The sequence below is a fragment of the Homo sapiens genome, chromosome 9, assembly GCF_000001405.40.
Source record: "Homo sapiens chromosome 9, GRCh38.p14 Primary Assembly".
NCBI classification, from domain to species: Eukaryota; Metazoa; Chordata; class Mammalia; order Primates; family Hominidae; genus Homo; species Homo sapiens.
In genome coordinates, this window is record NC_000009.12 from 64,854,085 (window position 1) to 64,873,801 (window position 19,717).

The 19,717-nt window shown below is 37.2% G+C and overlaps 1 pseudogene across 1 annotated transcript in view; it reads right to left on the reverse strand.

Annotated features, from left to right (window-relative positions):
* LOC100132154 (ankyrin repeat domain 30B pseudogene) overlaps positions 1–19,717 on the reverse strand; it is a 102,646-nt pseudogene that overhangs the window by 67,684 nt on the left and 15,245 nt on the right. Inside the window, exon 6 of the transcript XR_007061544.1 lies at positions 16,007–16,443. The product of XR_007061544.1 is annotated as an ankyrin repeat domain 30B pseudogene, transcript variant X1 (transcript). The remainder of the gene's footprint in view (positions 1–16,006; positions 16,444–19,717) is intronic.

The following is a 19,717-nucleotide window of genomic DNA, read 5'->3' on the forward strand; positions in this document are numbered from 1 at the left end:
GGGGGAAAATGCTGCCAGTCTCTGCTTAAGCATAGCAAGAGTGACCTTTGCTCTAGTTCCCAATAGGTTTCTCATCTCCATCTCCAGACCCAAAGTCGCTTTTACATTGCTGGGTATCTTTACAGCAGTACCCAACTCTACCAGCACGAATTTACTATAATAGTCCATTCTCACACTGCAATAAAAATCTTCCCAAGACTGGGTAATTTATAAAGCAAAAAGGTTAAATTGACTCACAGTTACTCATAGCTGGGGAGGCCTCAGGAAACTTACAATCATGGCAAAAGGCAAAGGAGAAGCAAACTGGACCTTCTTACATGGCAGCAGGAGAAAGAACATGTGTGTGCAGAAAAAACTTCGATTTATAAAACCATCAGAATTCATGAGAATTCACTCAGTGTCACAAGAACAGCATGGGGGAAACCACCCCCCATGATCCAATCACCTCCCACCAGGTGTGTCCCTTAACACCTGGGGATTACAATTCAAGATGAGATGGGGGCACACAAAGCCTAACCATATCTATCATAAAGACATAGTCCCAATTCCCTGATATCTCTGCTTCCTGACCCCTGTGTGAGACAGGCTATGGTGTCCCAGAATGGCCTGTTTCTCTTGATTTGGGGGGCAGTGTGTTAAGCACCTTTCAGCAGAATTCACCTTCCCTTTATGAATTAAATCCTAGGCACAATTCACAATGCCAGCTCTCAATAAATTTGTTACTGTAATTTGTTTCCAGAAATGATATCAGAGCAGAAACACAAAGCAAAAGAAACCAAAAGATAGGTCGTGCTGAATGGTTGGAAAGTATATTTATGAAAGAACTATGCTTCACAAAAGCATCTTTGCTATGATTCAAGGGAGAAATCATTAAACACCAACCCCATCATATCCACATAAATTCAGCAATCTAGAGACTGTTGGTCTTTTTTCTTTTCTGCATTATGTTTCTGCTCTCAGTAAAGCAAGGTTTTAATTGTAATATTGAAGCATTGGAAATTTAACACCAAGATATTTTCAAAACTAAGTGTTTTTTTGTTTGTTTTTGTTTTTGTTTTTTTTTGACAGAGTCTCACTCTGTCATCCAGGCTAGAGTGCAGTGGTGTGATCTCAGCTCGCTGCAAGCTCTGCCTCCCAGGTTCATGCCATTCTCCTGCCTCAGCCTCCTGAGTAGCTGGGACTACAGGTGCCCACCACCACACCTGGCTAATTTTTTTTTTTTGTATTTTTAGTAGAGACGGGGTTTCACCATGTTAGCCAGGATGGTCTCGACCTCCTGGCCTCGTGATCCGCCTGCTTTGGCCTCCCAAATTGCGGGGATTACAGGCATGAGCCACCACGCCTGGCCAAAACTAAGTTTTAATTATAATAGGAAAACTAATGCGAGGCCAGAAATTGTTGACTTTGTTCACAGAATGCTAATTTTCCCCAGACAAAATATGCAGAGCTATGTTTCATTAATATGCAGATCTATGTTTTATTACCAAAACACACTATTGCCAAATGCACAAAAGGAAAAAAGATATTTGTACCCTGTGCTAAAACAGATTCATTTGTGGTATTTATATGACAAAACTGGAATTATTTCAACCTGGAAATCATTGTTTCAAATTTCCATGGTTAAAGGTTTGCTCAAGCAAATCTTAAAACACAGGTATGTATTTCAGAAGATCAACCAAATTCAAGTTTGCATCCCATTTTGGGTACCTTGTAAATAGAAATTTCAAAATCTTCCTCAAAAATGTCTGCATTTGTTTTCCAGATTCTTGCAACCCAAAACAAAACTTCACAGAAACTCTGCACAAGAGTTGGTAGACAGCTAAACCTTCTCTAAATTGAGTTATGGACAATAAGGTCTTGATTATAGCAGAACTGGAAGGTCTATTTACAAGCCTGCACACAGTGCTGTGTAAATTGGCTGCTGGGGCACATTGATTGGCAGGGAAAGGCCAGGGAGGCAGTTGAATCCCTGGCATTTTTCAAAGCTTTTTTCCTAGTTTCATTGTTCCTAGAATTTTGAAGCTTGTTAAGACATTCCCTATCCTATGTCATACTCTAGAGCACTCTAGTCAGAATCCTGATAGAATACACTCTTTTTTTTAAAAGTGTACATTTCAATGATTTTTAATAATTTTTTTATACTTTAAGTTCTCAGGTACATGTGCACAACGTGCAGGTTTGTTACATATGTATACATGGGCCATGTTGGTGTGCTGCACCCATTAACTCGTCATTTACATTAGGTATATCTCCTATTGCTATCCCTCCCTTCTTCCCCCACCCCACAACAGGACCTGGTGTGTGATGTTCCCCTTCCTGTGTCCAAGTGATCTCATTGTTCAATTCTCACCTTTGAGTGAGAACATACAGTGTTTGGTTTTTTGTTCTTGTGATAGTTTGCTGAGAATGATGGTTTCCAGCTTCATTTGTGTCCCTACAAAGGACATGAACTCATCCTTTTTCATGGCTGCATAGCATTCCATGGTGTATATGTGCCACATTTTCTTAATCCAGTCTATCACTGATGGACATTTTTGTTGGTTCCAAGTCTTTGCTATTGTGAATAGTGCCGCAGTAAACATATGGGTGCATGTGCCTTTATAGCAGCATGATTTGTAATCCTTTCAGTATATACCCAGTAATGGGATGGCTGGTTCAAATGGTATTTCTAGTTCTAGATCCTTGAGGAATCACCACACTGTCTTCCACAATGGTTGAACTAGTTTACAGTCCCACCAACAGTGTAAGTGTTCCTATTTCTCCACACCCTCTCCAGCACCTGTTTTTCCTGAATTTTTAATGATAGCCATTCTAACTGGTGTGAGATTTTATCTCATTGTGATTTAGATTTGCATTTCTCTGATGACCAGTGATGATGGGCTTTGTTTCATGGTCTGTTGGCTGCATAAATGTCTTCTTTTGAAAAGTGTCTGTTCATATCCTTCACCCACTTTGTGATGGGGTTGTTTGTTTTTTTCTTGTAAATTTGTTTGAGTCTTTTGTAGATTCTGGATATTAGCCCTTTGTCAGATGAGTAGATTGCAAAAATCTTCTCCCATTCTGTAGGTTGCCTGTTCATTCTGAGGTAGTTTCTTTTGCTGTGCAGAAGCTCTTGAGTTTAATTAGATCCCATTTGTCAATTTTGGCTTTTGTTGCCATTGCTTTTGGTATTTTAGACATGAAGTCCTTGCCCATGCCTATGTCCTGAATGGTATTGCCTAGGTTTTCTTCTAGGGTTTCTATGGTTTCAGGTCTAACATTTAAGTCTTTAATCCATCTTGAATTAATTTTTGTATAAGGTGTAAGAAAGGGATCCAGTTTCAGCTTTCTGCATATGGCTAGCCAGTTTTCCCAGCACCATTTATTAAATAGGGAATTCTTTCCCCATTTCTTGTTGTTGTCAGGTTTGTCAAAGATCAGATGGTTGCAGATGTGTGGTATTATTTCTGAGGGCTCTGTTCCGTTCCATTGGTCTATATTTCTGTTTTGGTACCAGTACCATGCTGTTTTGGTTACTGTAGCTTGTAGTATAGTTTGAAGTCAGGTAGCGTCATGCCTCCAGCTTTGTTCTTTTTGCTTAGGATTGACTTGGTGATGCGGGCTCTTTTTTGGTTCCATATGAACTTAGTAGTTTTTTCCAATTCTGTGAAGAAAGTCATTGGTAGCTTGATGGAGATGGCATTGAATCTATAAATTACCTTGGGCAGTATGGCCATTTTCACGATATTGATTCTTCCTATCCATGAGCATGTAATGTTCTTCCATTTGTCTGTATCCTCTTTTATTTCCTTGAGCAGTGGTTTGTAGTTCTCCTTGAAGAGGTCCTTCACATCCCTTGTAAGTTGGATTCCTAGGTATTTTATTCTCTTTGAAGCAATTGTGAATGGGAGTTCACTCATGATTTGGCGCTCTGTTTGTCTGTTGTTGGTGTATAAGAATGCTTGTGATTTTTGCACATTGATTTTGTATCCTCAGACTTTGCTGAAGTTGCTTATGAGCTTAAGAAGATTTTGGGCTGAGACGATGGGGTTTTCTAAATATACAATCATGTCATCTTCAAACAGGGACAATTTGACTTCCTCTTTTCCTAATTGAATAATCTTTATTTCTTTCTCCTGCCTTATTGCCCTGGCCAGAACTTCCAGCACTATGTTGAATAGGAGTGGTGAGAGAGGACATCCCTGTCTTGTGCCAGATTTCAAAGGGAATGCTTCCAGTTTTTGCCCATTCAGTATGAAACTGGCTGTGGGTTTGTCATAGATAGCTCTTATTATTTTGAGATACATCCCATCAATACCTAATTTTTTGAGAGTTTTTAGCATGAAGCATTGTTGAATTTTCTCAAAGGCCTTTTCTGCATCTATTGAGATAATCATGTGGTTTTTGTCATTGGTTCTGTTTATATGCTGGATTACATTTATTGATTTGCGTATGTTGAACCAGCCTTGTATCCCAGGGATGAAGCCCACTTGATCATGGTGGATAAGTTTTTTGAGGTGCTGCTTGATTTGGTTTGCCAGTATTTTATTGAGGATTTTTGCATTGATGTTCATCAGGGATATTGGTATAAAATTCTCTTTTTTTGTTGTGTCTCTGCCAGGCTTTGGTATCAGGATGATGCTGGCCTCATAAAATGAGTTAGGGAGGATTCCCTCTTTTTCTACTGATTGGAATAGTTTCAGAAGGAATGGTATCAGCTCCTCTTTGTACCTCTGGTAGAATTCAGCTGTGAATCCATCTGGTCCTGGACTTTTTTTGGTTTATGTCCAATCATAAATTTATATCCAGAATACATGAAGATTTGTAGGAAATTTTTATATATTCTGGATATAAGTTTTTGACTGGACCTAAACATTGCAGATATCTTCTCCCAATTTAACTTGTCTTTTCTTTCTCTTAATGGTGACTTCGTTAATACCAATTTCTTAATTTTAATGTAGTTCAATTTATCAGACTTTTTCTGTGTAGTTAACGCTTATTTAGTCTTGCTTAAGAAATTTTTGTCTACCCCATTGTCATAAAGATATTCTTCTATGTTACAGAAGCTTTTTTTTAAAATTTTTAACATTTCAGATTGAGCTTTATAACCCACCTACGATTGACTTTTGTTTGTGACACAAGACAAGGGTTAAAGTCTTTTATTCCCCCATATTGATATCCAAATTATCTACCACCATTTATTGAGAAGATTATTATTTCCTCACTGCACTGCAGTTTCACCCTTGTCATAAATCAGGTGACGGTGTAAGTATGAGTTTGTTTTTTGTTTCTCTATTTGTATGTCCTGCTAATACCATCTTATTTTAATTGTAATAAAGTTGGAGACATCTGATGGTATACATTCTTGAGCTCTGTTCTTCTTCAGGACTTTCTTGGTTCTTCTTGTCCTTTTAAATTTTCAAAAAAATTTTAAATTAGCTTGTCAATTTTCAAATTACCTGATAGGATTTTGAGTAGGATTGCATTCAACCATAATTTAATGAGTAGAAATGACTTATTTACAATATAAAATCTTTCTATTCATAAACATTGTGTGTCTTTTTTATGTATACAATATTTATATCTGTTTTAAAAGTTTTACTTTAAGTTCTGGGATACATGTGCAGAATGTACAGGTTTGTTACATAGGTATACATGTGCTGTGGTGGTTCGCTCCATCTATCAACCTGTAATCTAAGTTTTAAGCCCCACATACATGAGGTATTTGTCTAATGCTCTCCCTCCTCTTCCCCTCCAACCCCTGACAGGCCTCTGTGTGTGATGTTCCCCTCCGTGTGTCCATGTGTTCTCATTGTTCAACTCCCATTTATGAGTGAGAACATGCACTGTTTGGTGTTCTGTTCCTGTGTTAGTTTGCTGACAATGATGGCTTCTAGTTTCATCCATGTCCCTGCAAAGAACATGTACTCATGATTTTTTATGGCTGCGTAACATTCCATGGTGTACTCTAATTTGTACATGTACAAATTAGAACTCAGGATTAAGAAACTCACTTGAAACCACACAATTATATGGAAATTGAACAACCTGCCCCTGAATGACTACTGGGTAAATAACGAAATTAAGGCAGAAATAACAAAGTTGTTTGAAACCAGTGAGAACAAAGAGACAACGTACCAGAATCTCTGAGACACAGCTGAAGTAGTGTTAACAGGGAAATTTATAGCACTAAATGCCCACAACAGAAAGCTGGAAAGATCGAAAATCGACCCCTTAATATCACAATTAAAAAACCTAGAGAAGAGTAAACAAATTCAGAAGCTACCAGAAGACAAGAAATAACTATGATCAGAGTAGAACTGAAAGAGATAGAGACACGAAAAACCCTTCAAAATATCAGTGAATCCAGGAGATTAACAAAATAAATAGACCACTAGCTAGACTAACAGAGAAAAAAGAGAAGAATCAAGTAGACATAATAAAAAATGATAAAGGGGGCTGGGTGTGATGGCTCATGCCTGTAATCCCTCTACTAAAAATACAAAAATTTGCTGGGTGTGGTGGTGTGTGCTTGTAGACCCAGCTACTAGAGAGACTGAGGCAGAAGAATTGCTTGAACCCCAGAGGTGGAGGTTGCAGTGAGCCGAGATAACACCACTGCACTCCAGCTTGGGTGACAGAGTGAGAGTCCATCTCAAAAAAAAAAAATGATAAAAGAAGTATCACTATTGATCCCACAGAAATGCAAATTACCCTCAGAGAATACAATAAACACCTCTCTGCAAATAAACCTGAAAATCTAGAAAATATGGATATATTCCTGGCACATACACCCTCCCACGACAAAATCAGGAAGAAGTAGAATCCCTGAATAGACCCATAACAAGTTCTGAAATTGAGACAGTAATGAATAGCCTACCAACCAAAAAAAGCCCGGGACCAGATGGATTCATAGCTGAATTATACTGGAGATATAAAGAAGAGCTGGTACCATTCCTTCTGAAACTATTCCAAACAATGGTAAAAGAGGGACTCCTCCCTAACTCATTTTATGAGGCCAGAATCATCCTGATAGCAAAACCTGGCAGAGACACAACAAATAAAGAAAATTTCAGGCCAATAGCCCTTATAAACATTGATGTGAAAATCCTCAATAAAAGACTGGCAAAATGAATCCAGCAGCACATACAAAAGCTTATCCACCATGTGCAATACTTTTTTTAAAGGCATGCTTTAATAAAGAAACACTTCTATTTAGTCAGGAGACTATCTCTTTGAGTCTAACATAGATTACAGCCTTGACATGAATAAGATTCTTCTTTTATGTAGTCAATAAATGTTTACTTACAGCCTATTTTATGCTGGGTAGTATTATGGGAACTGGAGAGAGAAGGTCTGTCTTTATGGAGCTTGCAGTATAGTGACAGAGATAGAACATAAATGCACAAACAGTTGCACACTAAAGTGATGGATGTACTAAGCGCTATGAAGAAATATATTAGCCAAGTGTGGTGGTGCTCACCTGTGGTCCCAGCTACTTGGGAGGCTGAGACAGGCGGTCTGTTTGAGCCCCAGAGTTTGAGGCTGCAGTGATCCATGATTGTGCCACTGCACCCCAGCCTTGGTGACAGAGTGAGACCCTGTCTAAATAAAAAGTATAATAATACAAAGAAAATAAGGTAGGGTAATCACATTCAGGGTGTCAGGGACTGCTACTTTAGATAGAGAGCTCTGGAACAATCTTTTTGAGGAGATGACACTTGAGCAGGTCAGAATGGTATGACGGAGTGAGTTAAGCGAATGTCTAGAGGGCAGAGAGAAGAGACACTGTGCAGAGTCTGAATACAGACAGCACTTGATGAGCTCAAAGATCACTACAAAGACCAGTCAGGCTGCAGGCACTGGGAGGCGGAAAGGAGAATGCACACTCTGAGGAGCAGATAAATACAGACCATAGTAAAGAGCTTGGATTTCTTTGTTAATTGTCATAGGTAACCACTGGAGGATTCAGAGCTGGGAATGAAATGGTATAAGATATGTTCTTACAGGAATAGTCCAGCTTTGTGGGAGAATAGATTACAGATTACCATAAATAGAATAATAAGAAATGCAAAGGCAGCTTAGAAATGATTATATCTGTCCAGGGGTTGATACTGGTGGTGTTAGAACTGTGAGGTCCCGTATGATAGCCACCAGCTGCATTTAGTTTTTTACATTTAAATTAATTAAAATACCATAAAATTTATTCCTACCAGGGACTTGGGAGGAAAGGGAGAATGAGGAGTTATTGCTTAATGAGTACAGAGTTTCAGTTTGGGGTGAAAAAACTTTTTGGAAATACATAGTTTTGATGATTGCACAACATTATGAATGTAATTAATGCCTCCGAATTTTATGTTTAAAATGGCAAAGCTTATTACATAGGCTTTACCACAATAAAACATTATAAAATTAATCATAGAACCAAAACTCTAAAACCATTTTTTAAAATTGTATAAATTTAAGGAGTGCAAGTGCAATTTTGTTACATGGGTATATGGGGTAGGAGTGAAGTCTGAGCTTTTAGTGTGTTTATCACTGGAACAATGTACACTGTATCCACTAAGTAATTTCTCATCACCCTTCCCCTTCCCACCCTCTCACCCTTCTGAGTCTACAGTGTCTTATCATTTTACACTCTTTGTTCATGTTTACGCATTATGTATTTCCCGTTTTTAAGTAAGAACATGCAGTATTTGATTTTAAGTTTCTGAATTGCAAAACTATAAAACTCTTAGAATAAAAAATAACAATAAATCTTTATGGCCTTGGATTTGGCAGTAGTTTCTTAGATATGGCACCAAAAGCACAGTGATAGAAGAAAATGTACTGGGCTTCATCAAAATTAGAAACATTTGTGTTTCAAAGGACGTAACAAAGAAAATAAAACGACAACCAGAAAAGTGAAGAAAATGTTTGCAACTTATATATTTGATTAGAAATCTGTATCCAAAATGCACAAATAAATTTTACAGCTCAACAGTAAAAAGGAAAAATACATAAAAATAGGCAAAATATTTAAATAGACATTTTTGTGAAGAAGATATAAGAGTGTCCAATAAGCGCATGAAGAAAAAGCCTAACATCACAAGCCATCAAGAAAACGCAAAATCAAAACCACAAGCAGATATCACTTAACACCCACTAGTGTACCTACAATAAAAAATGACAAATGGTTGGGTGCGGTGGCTCACGCCTGTAATCCCAGCACTTTGGGAGGCTGAGGTGGGTGGATCACGAGGTCAGGAGATCCGGAACATCCTGGCTAACATGGTGAAATCCCGTCTCTACTAAAAAATACAAAAAATTAGCCGGGCGTGGTGGCAGGCGCCTGTAGTCCCAGCTACTCAGGAGGCTGAGGCAGGAGGATGGCGTGAACCTGGGAGGTGGAGCTTGCAGTGAGCTGAGAGTGCACCACTGCACTCCAGCCTGGTGAGGCCATTGAGAAATTAGATCTTTCATACATTGCCGGTGGGAAAGTAAAATAGTGCACACTTTGGAAATCTGTGAGGTGATTGCTGAAACGGTTATACATAGGTACCTTACGACCCAGCAATTCCATTCCTAGGTACATACCCAATAGAAATGAAAACTTTTGAATGAAATATACAAAAGTTTGTACCTAAATATTATAGCGGCATTATCATAATTCTGAATAATACATACTAAATCGAAGGGATATTAAAAGTAATATTGATGAAATAAAATTAGAAATATATAAAATTTTTACCAGTGATTGATTGAGCTGATTCAAATTACTTCTTACAGTCTTCAATTCCACATTTTGTACATTCGGAGAGTGAGTTCAAGTTGCTTCACTTCTAACTTTTTCTTTTGCTGCTCTTCGAATTTTCCTAATTCTTCCCTAATTTTTTCATTTAATATATTGACATTTCTTCTCTTCTCTTCTTGTTTTAAAGTCACTCTGCCATTAAATATACTTATCTTAAAATTCATTTTGTTAGAAAATAGAATTCACTTTGAGATCTACTTCTTCCTATATTGGTTTATTATTCCAATAAAATTCCTATATTCTTGAATACGTTTTTCCTTTCTAGTTCTGAGGTATTTAATTTATTACTGAACTCTCTTCCAAATGATACACATACTTGAAAAATAGTGAAAAAAAAACATCTTCTAGTTAGAAAGATTCTGTTACTAGTAACTTCAACAACTGTTACAGAAAAGAATACTGGAAGCTATCCAGTAAAGTTATAAGTTGAAAATTATTATTTTAAAAATATAACAGTCAAAATTACTCCTCAATGAGGACAGATCATTTAGAGTTAACTAATTAAAATGACGTTACTTTTTATAAACAAGTTTACATATTTATTAGACATAAATATTCATCTTTAAAAAATAAGGCAAATATCCTTAAACATAATTATAATATTAAAATCTGAGACTAGGCTGAAGAATCTAATATCTGTTATCCCATATATCTTTTGTTTCTTTTTTTAGTAATACTTTAAATGTATCTTGTTGATTATTTTATATTTTATCAACAAATTTTAAATCTCTTTTAGAATAAGACAGAATATTATATTTAATTAAAAAATAAAAATAATAAGTGTTTTTAACATAGAATTCTGAATTGATTTTATTTATGTAGGAGAGAGAGAGATGTTGAATATACTAGTCATAAATTACTCTATATTTTTCTTTATACTCCATGCATATTAAGATTACAAGTGTATAATTAAAGGAAAATGATTATTGGGGGTAGTGGAATGGCCGTTTCACACTCTCTTTGTTGAACTATAAATGAATATAAATTTTCTTGAGAACAATTTAGAAGTAATGAACAAAGAACTTCTTAAAACTTCCTATAATTTAACCAAATATTTTTATATTGAATAATTTATTCCAAGTCAATAATTAGAATGGTAGAAAAGGATTTACATGCAATTATGCCTTGCAGCACTTATTATAACACAAAAAAATTAAAAATAAAAAAATAATTTTTTAAGTAAATAATGGGGTTTCCAAATAATGGCCTTCTATGTAGCCATTAAAATTGTGATTTAAATAAATATGCATTTAATTATCAGGAGATGTATTCACAGTTAATAACTTGTATTATTTAAATGGATTTGACACTACAAGACAGAGATTTCTTTCTCTAGTTAAACCTCAGAAGGTAAGTCAGCTAGTACTAAAAGTATCCTATATACTAGTATGTCATACCTCACACTGCAGAGCTCTTGTTCTCTTTTAACTTTTTGATTCTCTATGATTTTATTTCTTTTGGTTCTGATAGTTCCTTTTGTAGTACACGAAGCTTTTTTTTCATTTGTTTCATTTTTGCTGTAAGTTGTTCACAGGGATTTTTTTTTCTTTCTTTTTTTGACGGAGTCTCACTCTGTTGCCTAGGCTGGAGTGCAGTGGCGCGTTCTCCACTCACTGCAAGCTCCGCCTCCTGGGTTCACGCCATTCTCCTGCCTCAGCCTCCTGAGTAGCTGGGACTACAGGCAACCGTCACCACGCCCGGCTAATTTTTTTGGTATTTTTAGTAGAGACGGGGTTTCACTGTGTTAGCAAGGATGGTCTTGATCTCCTGACCTCATGATCTGCCGGCCTTGGCCTCCCAAAGTGATGGGATTACAGGCGTGAGCCACGGCGCCTGGCTCACAGGGATATTTTTTAAGTTCCCTTGCTCTTTCACAAGAAAGAATTGCATCCAAGAATTTTGATAGGCTAGTTGAATCTGTCTCCAGGAGGAGATAGAAATAAAATATATAAGTACTTTTGGGATATAAAGAACTGCATATTTTAAAAATCACTAATTCATACACTGAACAAATATATATTGTTTGCCTACCTCGTGGAAGGCATTATACTAAGCTCTGCAGATTAAACAGAAAAAAACAAAAACCTCTGCCTTTGTTTAACTTAAAATGTACTAAAAGACGAAGCCCCAGAAAAGTGACAGTTATAAATTCAGATAGATACTGTAAGAAAACAGATTGCTAAGAATTAGATCTATACTAGGCTCATGGAAAATTCCCCCGAGGAACGTATAGCTACACTGAGGAATGAAGAATGAAAAGGAAGCAGTTGAGCAAACAGGGAAGGAAAGCATTTTAGCCAGTCTGTGGCATGTGCTGAAACTCTAGTGTAGTCTGCCTCTAGCCAAGGGAGAGCAACAGGTATGATTTTTCTTCATAGCTAAAATAACTAGCATCAAAACACACAAAATACAGTAAACAATTTTTCAGACACTGGACATTAGGCAAAGAGATAATAATCCCTGAAAAAGAGAAAAAAAAAAAAAACACGAAAGAAAGCAAACCTTATGAATGTTTCAGCTTCCTGCCTTGACAGAGATTCCGAGACATGACACAGGAAGAAAAAACTGAGGTGGGATCTACCAGACTCTCTTGGTTACATTGATGAAGCTTAGAGTCTGGTAAAACCAAAGCAGACAGATATTACAGAACAAACACTGAGGAGGAGAGAGAGATACAGAATCAATGGCAAGAAACCCCCTGTCAATATTTAGCAAAATTTTGGAAATTGCATGTGAGCTAGAAAACTACCTAAGAACAAACCAGGTGGGGGTGGGGGGTGGCCTATAAAATTATAGGAAATCACAACTGGTGCTCACACAGCGCCAAGAAGAGCATCTATTTTTATAGATTTGCCTGGGAAAACTGAGACTTCACAGGAGAATGAATACTCAGAAAGGCCTTGCCTCAGGTATGGGGAGTTAGCTCATACCATAAAAAGAAAAATGAAAGGGATCAAGCTCTTTATAAGTAACTCAACTCTATTCTACCATAAAATTCAAGAAGATAAGTAAAGCAGTAGAAGATACTTTTAAAAATCAAATTGCACTTGTAGAGATACAAGTTACAATGCTGGAGATGAAAGCTGCACTGAGTAGATATGAGCATAGATTAATTCGCCATCATGAAATAAAAGAGTCACAAATTTGAGACACTAGTGAACTATGAGCAAACTTCCAGCAGGTAATATATAAGTCCCCAAAGAGGTAGGAGGAGAGGCAGAATAAAAAACTTGAGAAAAAAATTGGCTAAATATGTTTTAAACTTAACGACAGCCATAATCCCACAGATCTAGGCTGGGATCTGGCTGATAGAAAAGAAATGAAAATATGGTTGTAATTTCTTATACCGTCTATGATATGATATAATATTACTTGAAGGTGGATTGTGATGAGGTAAATTCATACACTATAAATCCCAAAGCAACTACTAGGACAGCAAAGAGTTATACCTAATACCAAATAAACTTATACCAAAAAAGATATGACTAAATCATAAAGAAATGTAACACTAGATTAATAACTAAAAAAGTTATGCATGTACAGATATGTAACTAAATCATAAAAATTACTAAACTAGTCTGAAGGAAGCAGAAAAAGGAAAAAAGCAAAGCAAAGAAGATCTGGGACTAATAGAAATCAAACAGTGTGATGACAGACAACTCTAATCATATCAATAATTACATTATAAATTAAACTGCTCTAAAAACCTCTACTCAAAGGCAGATTGTCAGAATGGATAAAAAAGCAAGTCTTACCTGTATAATGCATATAAGAAATAAACTTTAAATATAAAGACAAAAATTAGTTAAAAGATGAAACAAGATATACCACACTAACACTTGACAAAAGAAGGCTGAGGAAGAGTGGTTGTATTAATACCAAAGTACATTTCATAGCAAAAATATTACCAGCAATATACAATGTCATTTTATAGTGACAAAGGGTTCGATTAATCAAGAAAACATAACAGTCCTAAATATTTATGTACATAATAACATAAATGCTTCAAAATACATGATACAAAAATTGACAGAACTGCAAAAGAAATAGACAAATTCCCAAGTATAGTCTAAAATCTCTAAACCCCTTACTCAAGCCGTATAGGGAGGCAGAAAATTCTGGAAAAATGTTGGCATGTGTACTCACCAGTCTAGACATTTTCCCACTCCCTGTGTATGTATGCTGCTTTAGTTACAAAAAGTTAGGTAGGATCTTGGGAGATTTCTTCTTGGATACCAGAAATATCAACCACATCAAAAGTATACCTAACAACTCTAAAATAATTCTTTTGAACAGATTACCACTGAAGAACTTGTAAGTTAAATCCAGTAGACTTTTGAGTAATTTTACTGCTTGAAATTCTCACATTTAAAAGAAATTTGTAACATCACTTTCTCAGACTCCTCTTCTACGTTTCTTTAACCACTGCTCAGTCTCCTTTACCAAGTCCTTTGACTCTTGTGAAATGTTGATATTCCCAGGGTTTTGTCAATGGCTTTCTTTTTATTCTACATCTACTGCCTCATGGATAAGCTCATTGAGATCTATGGCTTTGCCTAATAATTATAATAAAAGTATTCTAAGCCTGCATCTTCAAGCAGAGTTCTATCTCCAGCTAGAAATGCATATAATCCAATTGCCTACTGAAAGTATCCCACAAGAATGTTTCGTTGAACTCAATATGTAAAGAAAACTGTTGGTCTGTCTCATGACTGTTTGCACTTCTCTGTTAACCTGAGAAATTCCTACTCCTTCCCCATGATCATTGTAAATGCTTGTGCACAATCTGAAAACTTATGAATGACCTGAGATTTTATCTGTCCCCTAGCTTTTTAAACTCAATTATCACTAAGCCATATTAACTGCACCTCTTTTCTGCCTTTGCTTTATCTTTCCAGTGCCACTGGAAATACATACTTATTTATTTTATATTTATATTTCCTAGTTAAACGTGGCCCCTTAACTGATGGCTTTCACAGGGAAAAAGAAACCCTACAAATTACTGTTCTTATTTTTTAAGTTAAAAAATTAATCAAAATAAAATAATGCCAAAGAAGGACCTACATGTTTAAATGTGTAAATTGAGCTTCTGAACTTGATTCATTTTACCCTTGATGGATCAAACTTTCATAATAGATTGATACTAGGCCACAGATTTGTTACAAAAAAAAAAAGACCATCGCATGAACTACTACAAAAACTTCATCTTTAAATCTTTTTATGTGATTATCCTCCATCTATCTTCTATATGAAGGGCCAGAAACTATAGGCCACAGGCCAAATTCAGCTTTCTAAATGGTTTTTTATACAAACTTTTATTGGAGTACAATCATGCCTCTTTGCCCATCCATTATCTATGACTCCTGTCACCCTACAATGGCAGAGTTGAATAGCTGTAATAGAGACCACATGACCCAACATATTCGCTATCTGGCACTTTACAGGAAAAGTTTGCCAATCTCTGCTTTATACCATGACCAGAATGCCCTGATACTCAAATCTAATCTTGTGATTCCCCTGCTCAAACTTTTCCACTGTGTTCCTGCAGAAAACATTGCTGGCTTCCTATGCATAGTCATTATTTATTCTTTATTGCTGTAGAAACACAAGTTCATTTAGATATTTACTATTCCATTACCCCCATCCAGTCTTAAAAGAAAAATCATTATTCTAAGCTAATCACAGTAATTACATTTGCTTTCCTAGTGATTGGTATAGAAATAAGCATGTGGTATAATCCAGCCAATAAAATGTTACAGGAAGATTACTGCAAGCTTCCAAGTTTTCTTCCTATTTAAAAAAAAAAAATGTGAACAAAAGCAGCACCCCCAGCCTTCAGATATTGTCTTGAGTTAGCATGATGATTGGAGCTGTTGCTAATTAGCCAACCAAGAAAGGAGACATGGACAAAACACTGCCGATAGCACAACTAATAATGGGGGTGGGGGGCAGAGTGAGATCCTATAATATCCCTGTACCACCAAAAAAACTTTGGTTTCTATGGTTTTAGCAATTGTTAGTTAGTTCATCTAATATTTACAGCCAGAAGTATTCTGGGAATTTTTCCAGGGCCTATAGAATAAGATCTACTCATTTCTACACTATTAAAATGTGTTGCCCAAGCTTGCCTTATCTAGACATTCAAGCCATTCCCGACTACTCCCATACCACACTATTTCCACTAGGGAACCCAAAGTGCCAATAAACTCTACAAAGTTCACTCAAGCATCTTACCATGTGTACTTGCTTTTGTAGCTGTTTTTTTGTAGGACATGTGATCATCTTAGATGTTCCTTCTTCCAAAACTTCAGTTTTATTAGATGTTACTCCTGCCACGCATTCAGTCTTTACAGATGTTTCTTTTTCCTCCCATGTGGTCTTTGTAGGTCTTTCTTGTGGCCATGCAAATTTCTCAGATGTTTCTTTCACAGGCCTTGTAATTTTCCTAGGTGTTTCTCCTGCTGACTCTTCAATCTTTCCAGATATTGTTTTCCCCAAACATTGAACTTCGTCAGATGTTCCCTCCACCAAGGGTGCAGCTTCGTGTTGGAAATAACTTTTTGGTGCCACAAAGAAGAGTTAGCACTCCAACAACAAGTTAACACTCCAGCAAGGCAAATTTACTTCTATAGAAGGGTGAGTCTTGCAGATGGAGCAATGGCAAGGGCACACTGGATAAGGGAGGGGAAAGGGTTCTTATTCCTAATACAGATAGTCCCTACTGCTGTATCTTTCCCCTATTGGATAGGGTTGTACTGCACACTCTAAGCTAATTTTGACTGGCTACTTCAAAGAGGACAGGGGTGCAAGCCAGAGTGGCGGGGTGGGTAGTTTCCTCAGGAAGGACGGTTACAGAGCAGGTGACTAAGGATGACTAAGAACAGAGCAAGTGACTAAGAATGACTAAGGACAGAGTAGGTGATAGGGACTAGGAGGGGGTCATTTACTGAAACTAGGGGCAAGGAAGCATAAAGAATGAGGAAGTTAAACTTTAAATGGAGAACAAAGAACAGAGAAGCTGAACATACTGACTTATTGACTCTTTGAAGAGGAAATGAGAACTCACTGTACTTAACAATCTTCCCTCTCTTGAATTTTAAAGGATGTTAACAGGCTAAAACCTTTGAAGAGTAATTCACTGTATTCTACAATTGCCTCTTTCAATTTTTATAGCCCTTCCTCTTCAAACCTTTTTAGCATGTCTTGGATTTTTTTTTTCAACTTGATCCTCTAAAAGGAAAAGCCTATCTGAATAAGGTGGAGGACAGCTAAGGGAGGTTTTAGAAAGTGTTGTTTCTATAAGCCTTTGCACTAGCCCATGGATGCATGGTATGACACAACACCCAACAAGAATGAGTACACCAATTACTGCTGTAAGAGAAGTAAGAATTGAGGCTACAATTTCTTTCCATTTACTGAACCACCTTTCTAGCCATCTTGAGAAAGGGTTATTGACTCCAGAATTTTTAGCTAATTCATTGGATAAAGTGGTAAATCCTTGTAGGGCCCTTGTTATGCTCCCATTGGGGGCAGTGTTGTTTGCCCCCAATGGATAAAGGTACAACACTGAGTTTTAATCATAACACAAACACCACCATTTTCAGCTAATATCATAACTAGGGCCATTCTGTTTTCCCAGGCCATCTGGCTAGTGGGCCTCAATTGTTCCGCTATTCCTTTGACAACACCCCTGGTGTAATTAATAAACCACTGTTGATTATTATAGATTTAATTTATCCAATCTACATTTTTATTGTCACATACCAAAATATCAATTCAAATCCGGTAGCTATTTGAACTTGGACTTAAATATATCTGGTACTCCTCATGGGATTCCAATAACATCTAAATAAATGTGGGAGTCAAAAGACCCATAAAGGACTTCCCTTGCTTTACTATGTTGTGTTTTCCCTTTTTCTGGTTGATGAAATGCCAGAGTGAAAAGTATAGCCAACTGGACTAGAGCACCAGCGCTGCTCCAGTTACTTGACAGAGTGTCCTGTAAAGATCCACCACAATACCACCATAAATCTTCTCAGGATTGTATAAGGGCTGACTGATTGGTAAGCTCTTGGAAAGTCTTAAGCTTACTGCATCTTTTAGGTTTCCAAGCAAAGCTAAGTTTCCTCCTTGTTGTGAGAGACATGAAGTGAACTTAGTGTCAGGAGAAGGAAGCTGGATGGTCCTTGGGGGCTGACCTGCAAGGTGTTGAACTTTGGGATATAGCAGAGAGAGAGATTGACATGACTTGTTACACCAGGCTGTGGAACCCTGGAAAAGAGCTACCATACAGCCCATGCCTCGTTGACTGAAGGACCATCCTAGTGGAAAGGGAACAATCTGGGCCTCTGGTCTGCTGTGTGCACAAGCATAACAATTGCTTTTGTTTAAAGTGCGAATGGAGTATTTGATCCATTCCAACCAGGCATTCACATCTTGATATCCTGTCTCAGTTGCCAAAGTTTGTTTTAGGTCTTTAACTTTTACAATAGCTACCTTGGTCTTCTCATTAGATGGAGGAGGAACAACAGTTTCATTGTGAGAGTTTTTGGAAGAAGACTTAGGGGAAGCTGTAAGCAGTAGGGGAGAAATGAAGCATATTTCAAAGAACCAATAGGGTCTGTTTCTGAAAACTCAGCTCCCATATCATAAAACCAGCTTAAAGAAGGGAATTGGTTTAGAGAAGGGGAAGAACTTTGAAGGTTTGAAATAATAACCTGTATTGAGTTGCACTAGTTTACCTGAAAGTTAGGGGGAGCTATATCTTTAGTAAAATGAAGGTATGGTTTTAGAAATTACAACTACTGGTTGGGGCAGCCATCCTTGCTCTCTCTTGCATGTAGTTGGACCAACTACGTCATAAAAGCTCTGTGTCAAGGGGGCAAAACTCCCAGTTGACACTGGGGTCTTCATTGAAACTTTCCCAGACTAAATGATCCAAATTCACTAATGTCCAGTCTGAGGACAGCCAGGAAGTACAGAGGTACTTTTCTGAATTGGAGAGCTGTCTTTGACCTGACAAGGCTCCACAAGGTATAACAAGGCAAGCATCAAATGTAACAGTTTGAGGCAAAATGGGTTCCATTTTCTGAGTCAATGTTTTCTACTAGCCTAAACCTGGGCACTATATTTTCAATTAAGGCCTTAACTACATTATTGGCCATCACATTTGAAAAGGGAATAGCTTTGACCCAGTGAGTAAGGTGATCTACTGTCACTAGTAAATATTTTAGACGACCTATTGGAGGCATCTCTGTGTAATCAATCTGGATACTTTAAGTCTGGACTCCTTCTCCCAAGGGGTAATCTTTTTATAGTTTGTTAATTAGTTTTCTTACATACTAAGCAACTCTCTGTAACCTGTTTGGCCAGAGTATAAATTCCTATACACCCAAAAACTTTCAGAACAGTGTCACACATGGCTTGGGACCCCCAGTGGGTCCCTTGATGCAGTTGGGACAAGTTTTCCCTCATAAGGGGTTTGGACAACATTTCCCTCTGGTCTGGCAATATCCATTTTTCTTTTGAATTCTCCTTAGCACCTATTTTTATTAGTTTCTCTTTTCAGTGGAAGAGAAAATGGAGATTATGTTAGGAGGAAGAAGGTAAAGAGTTCAGTGAAAAATAGATGTTTTAAAAGAAATGGCAGCCTGTTTGCCTATGTAATCTGCTGGGTTATTTCCTAGACTGTCAAAAGAAAGACTTTTCTGGTGTCTGGGTCATGGACAGTCACTATTTCTTCTGGCAACTGAAGGTTATTCAATACTTGGGTGAATATCTCCTTATGAAAAAGATCTTGACGTTTACTATTAATGAGACCTCGTTCAGTCCAAATTTTTCCGAATGTATGAGCCACTCCAAAGGCGTACTTAGAATTGGTATAGATGGCTCCTTCCTGGTTCTGCAAGTACTTTAAGGCTTGGCTGAGTGCAAACAGCTCACAAG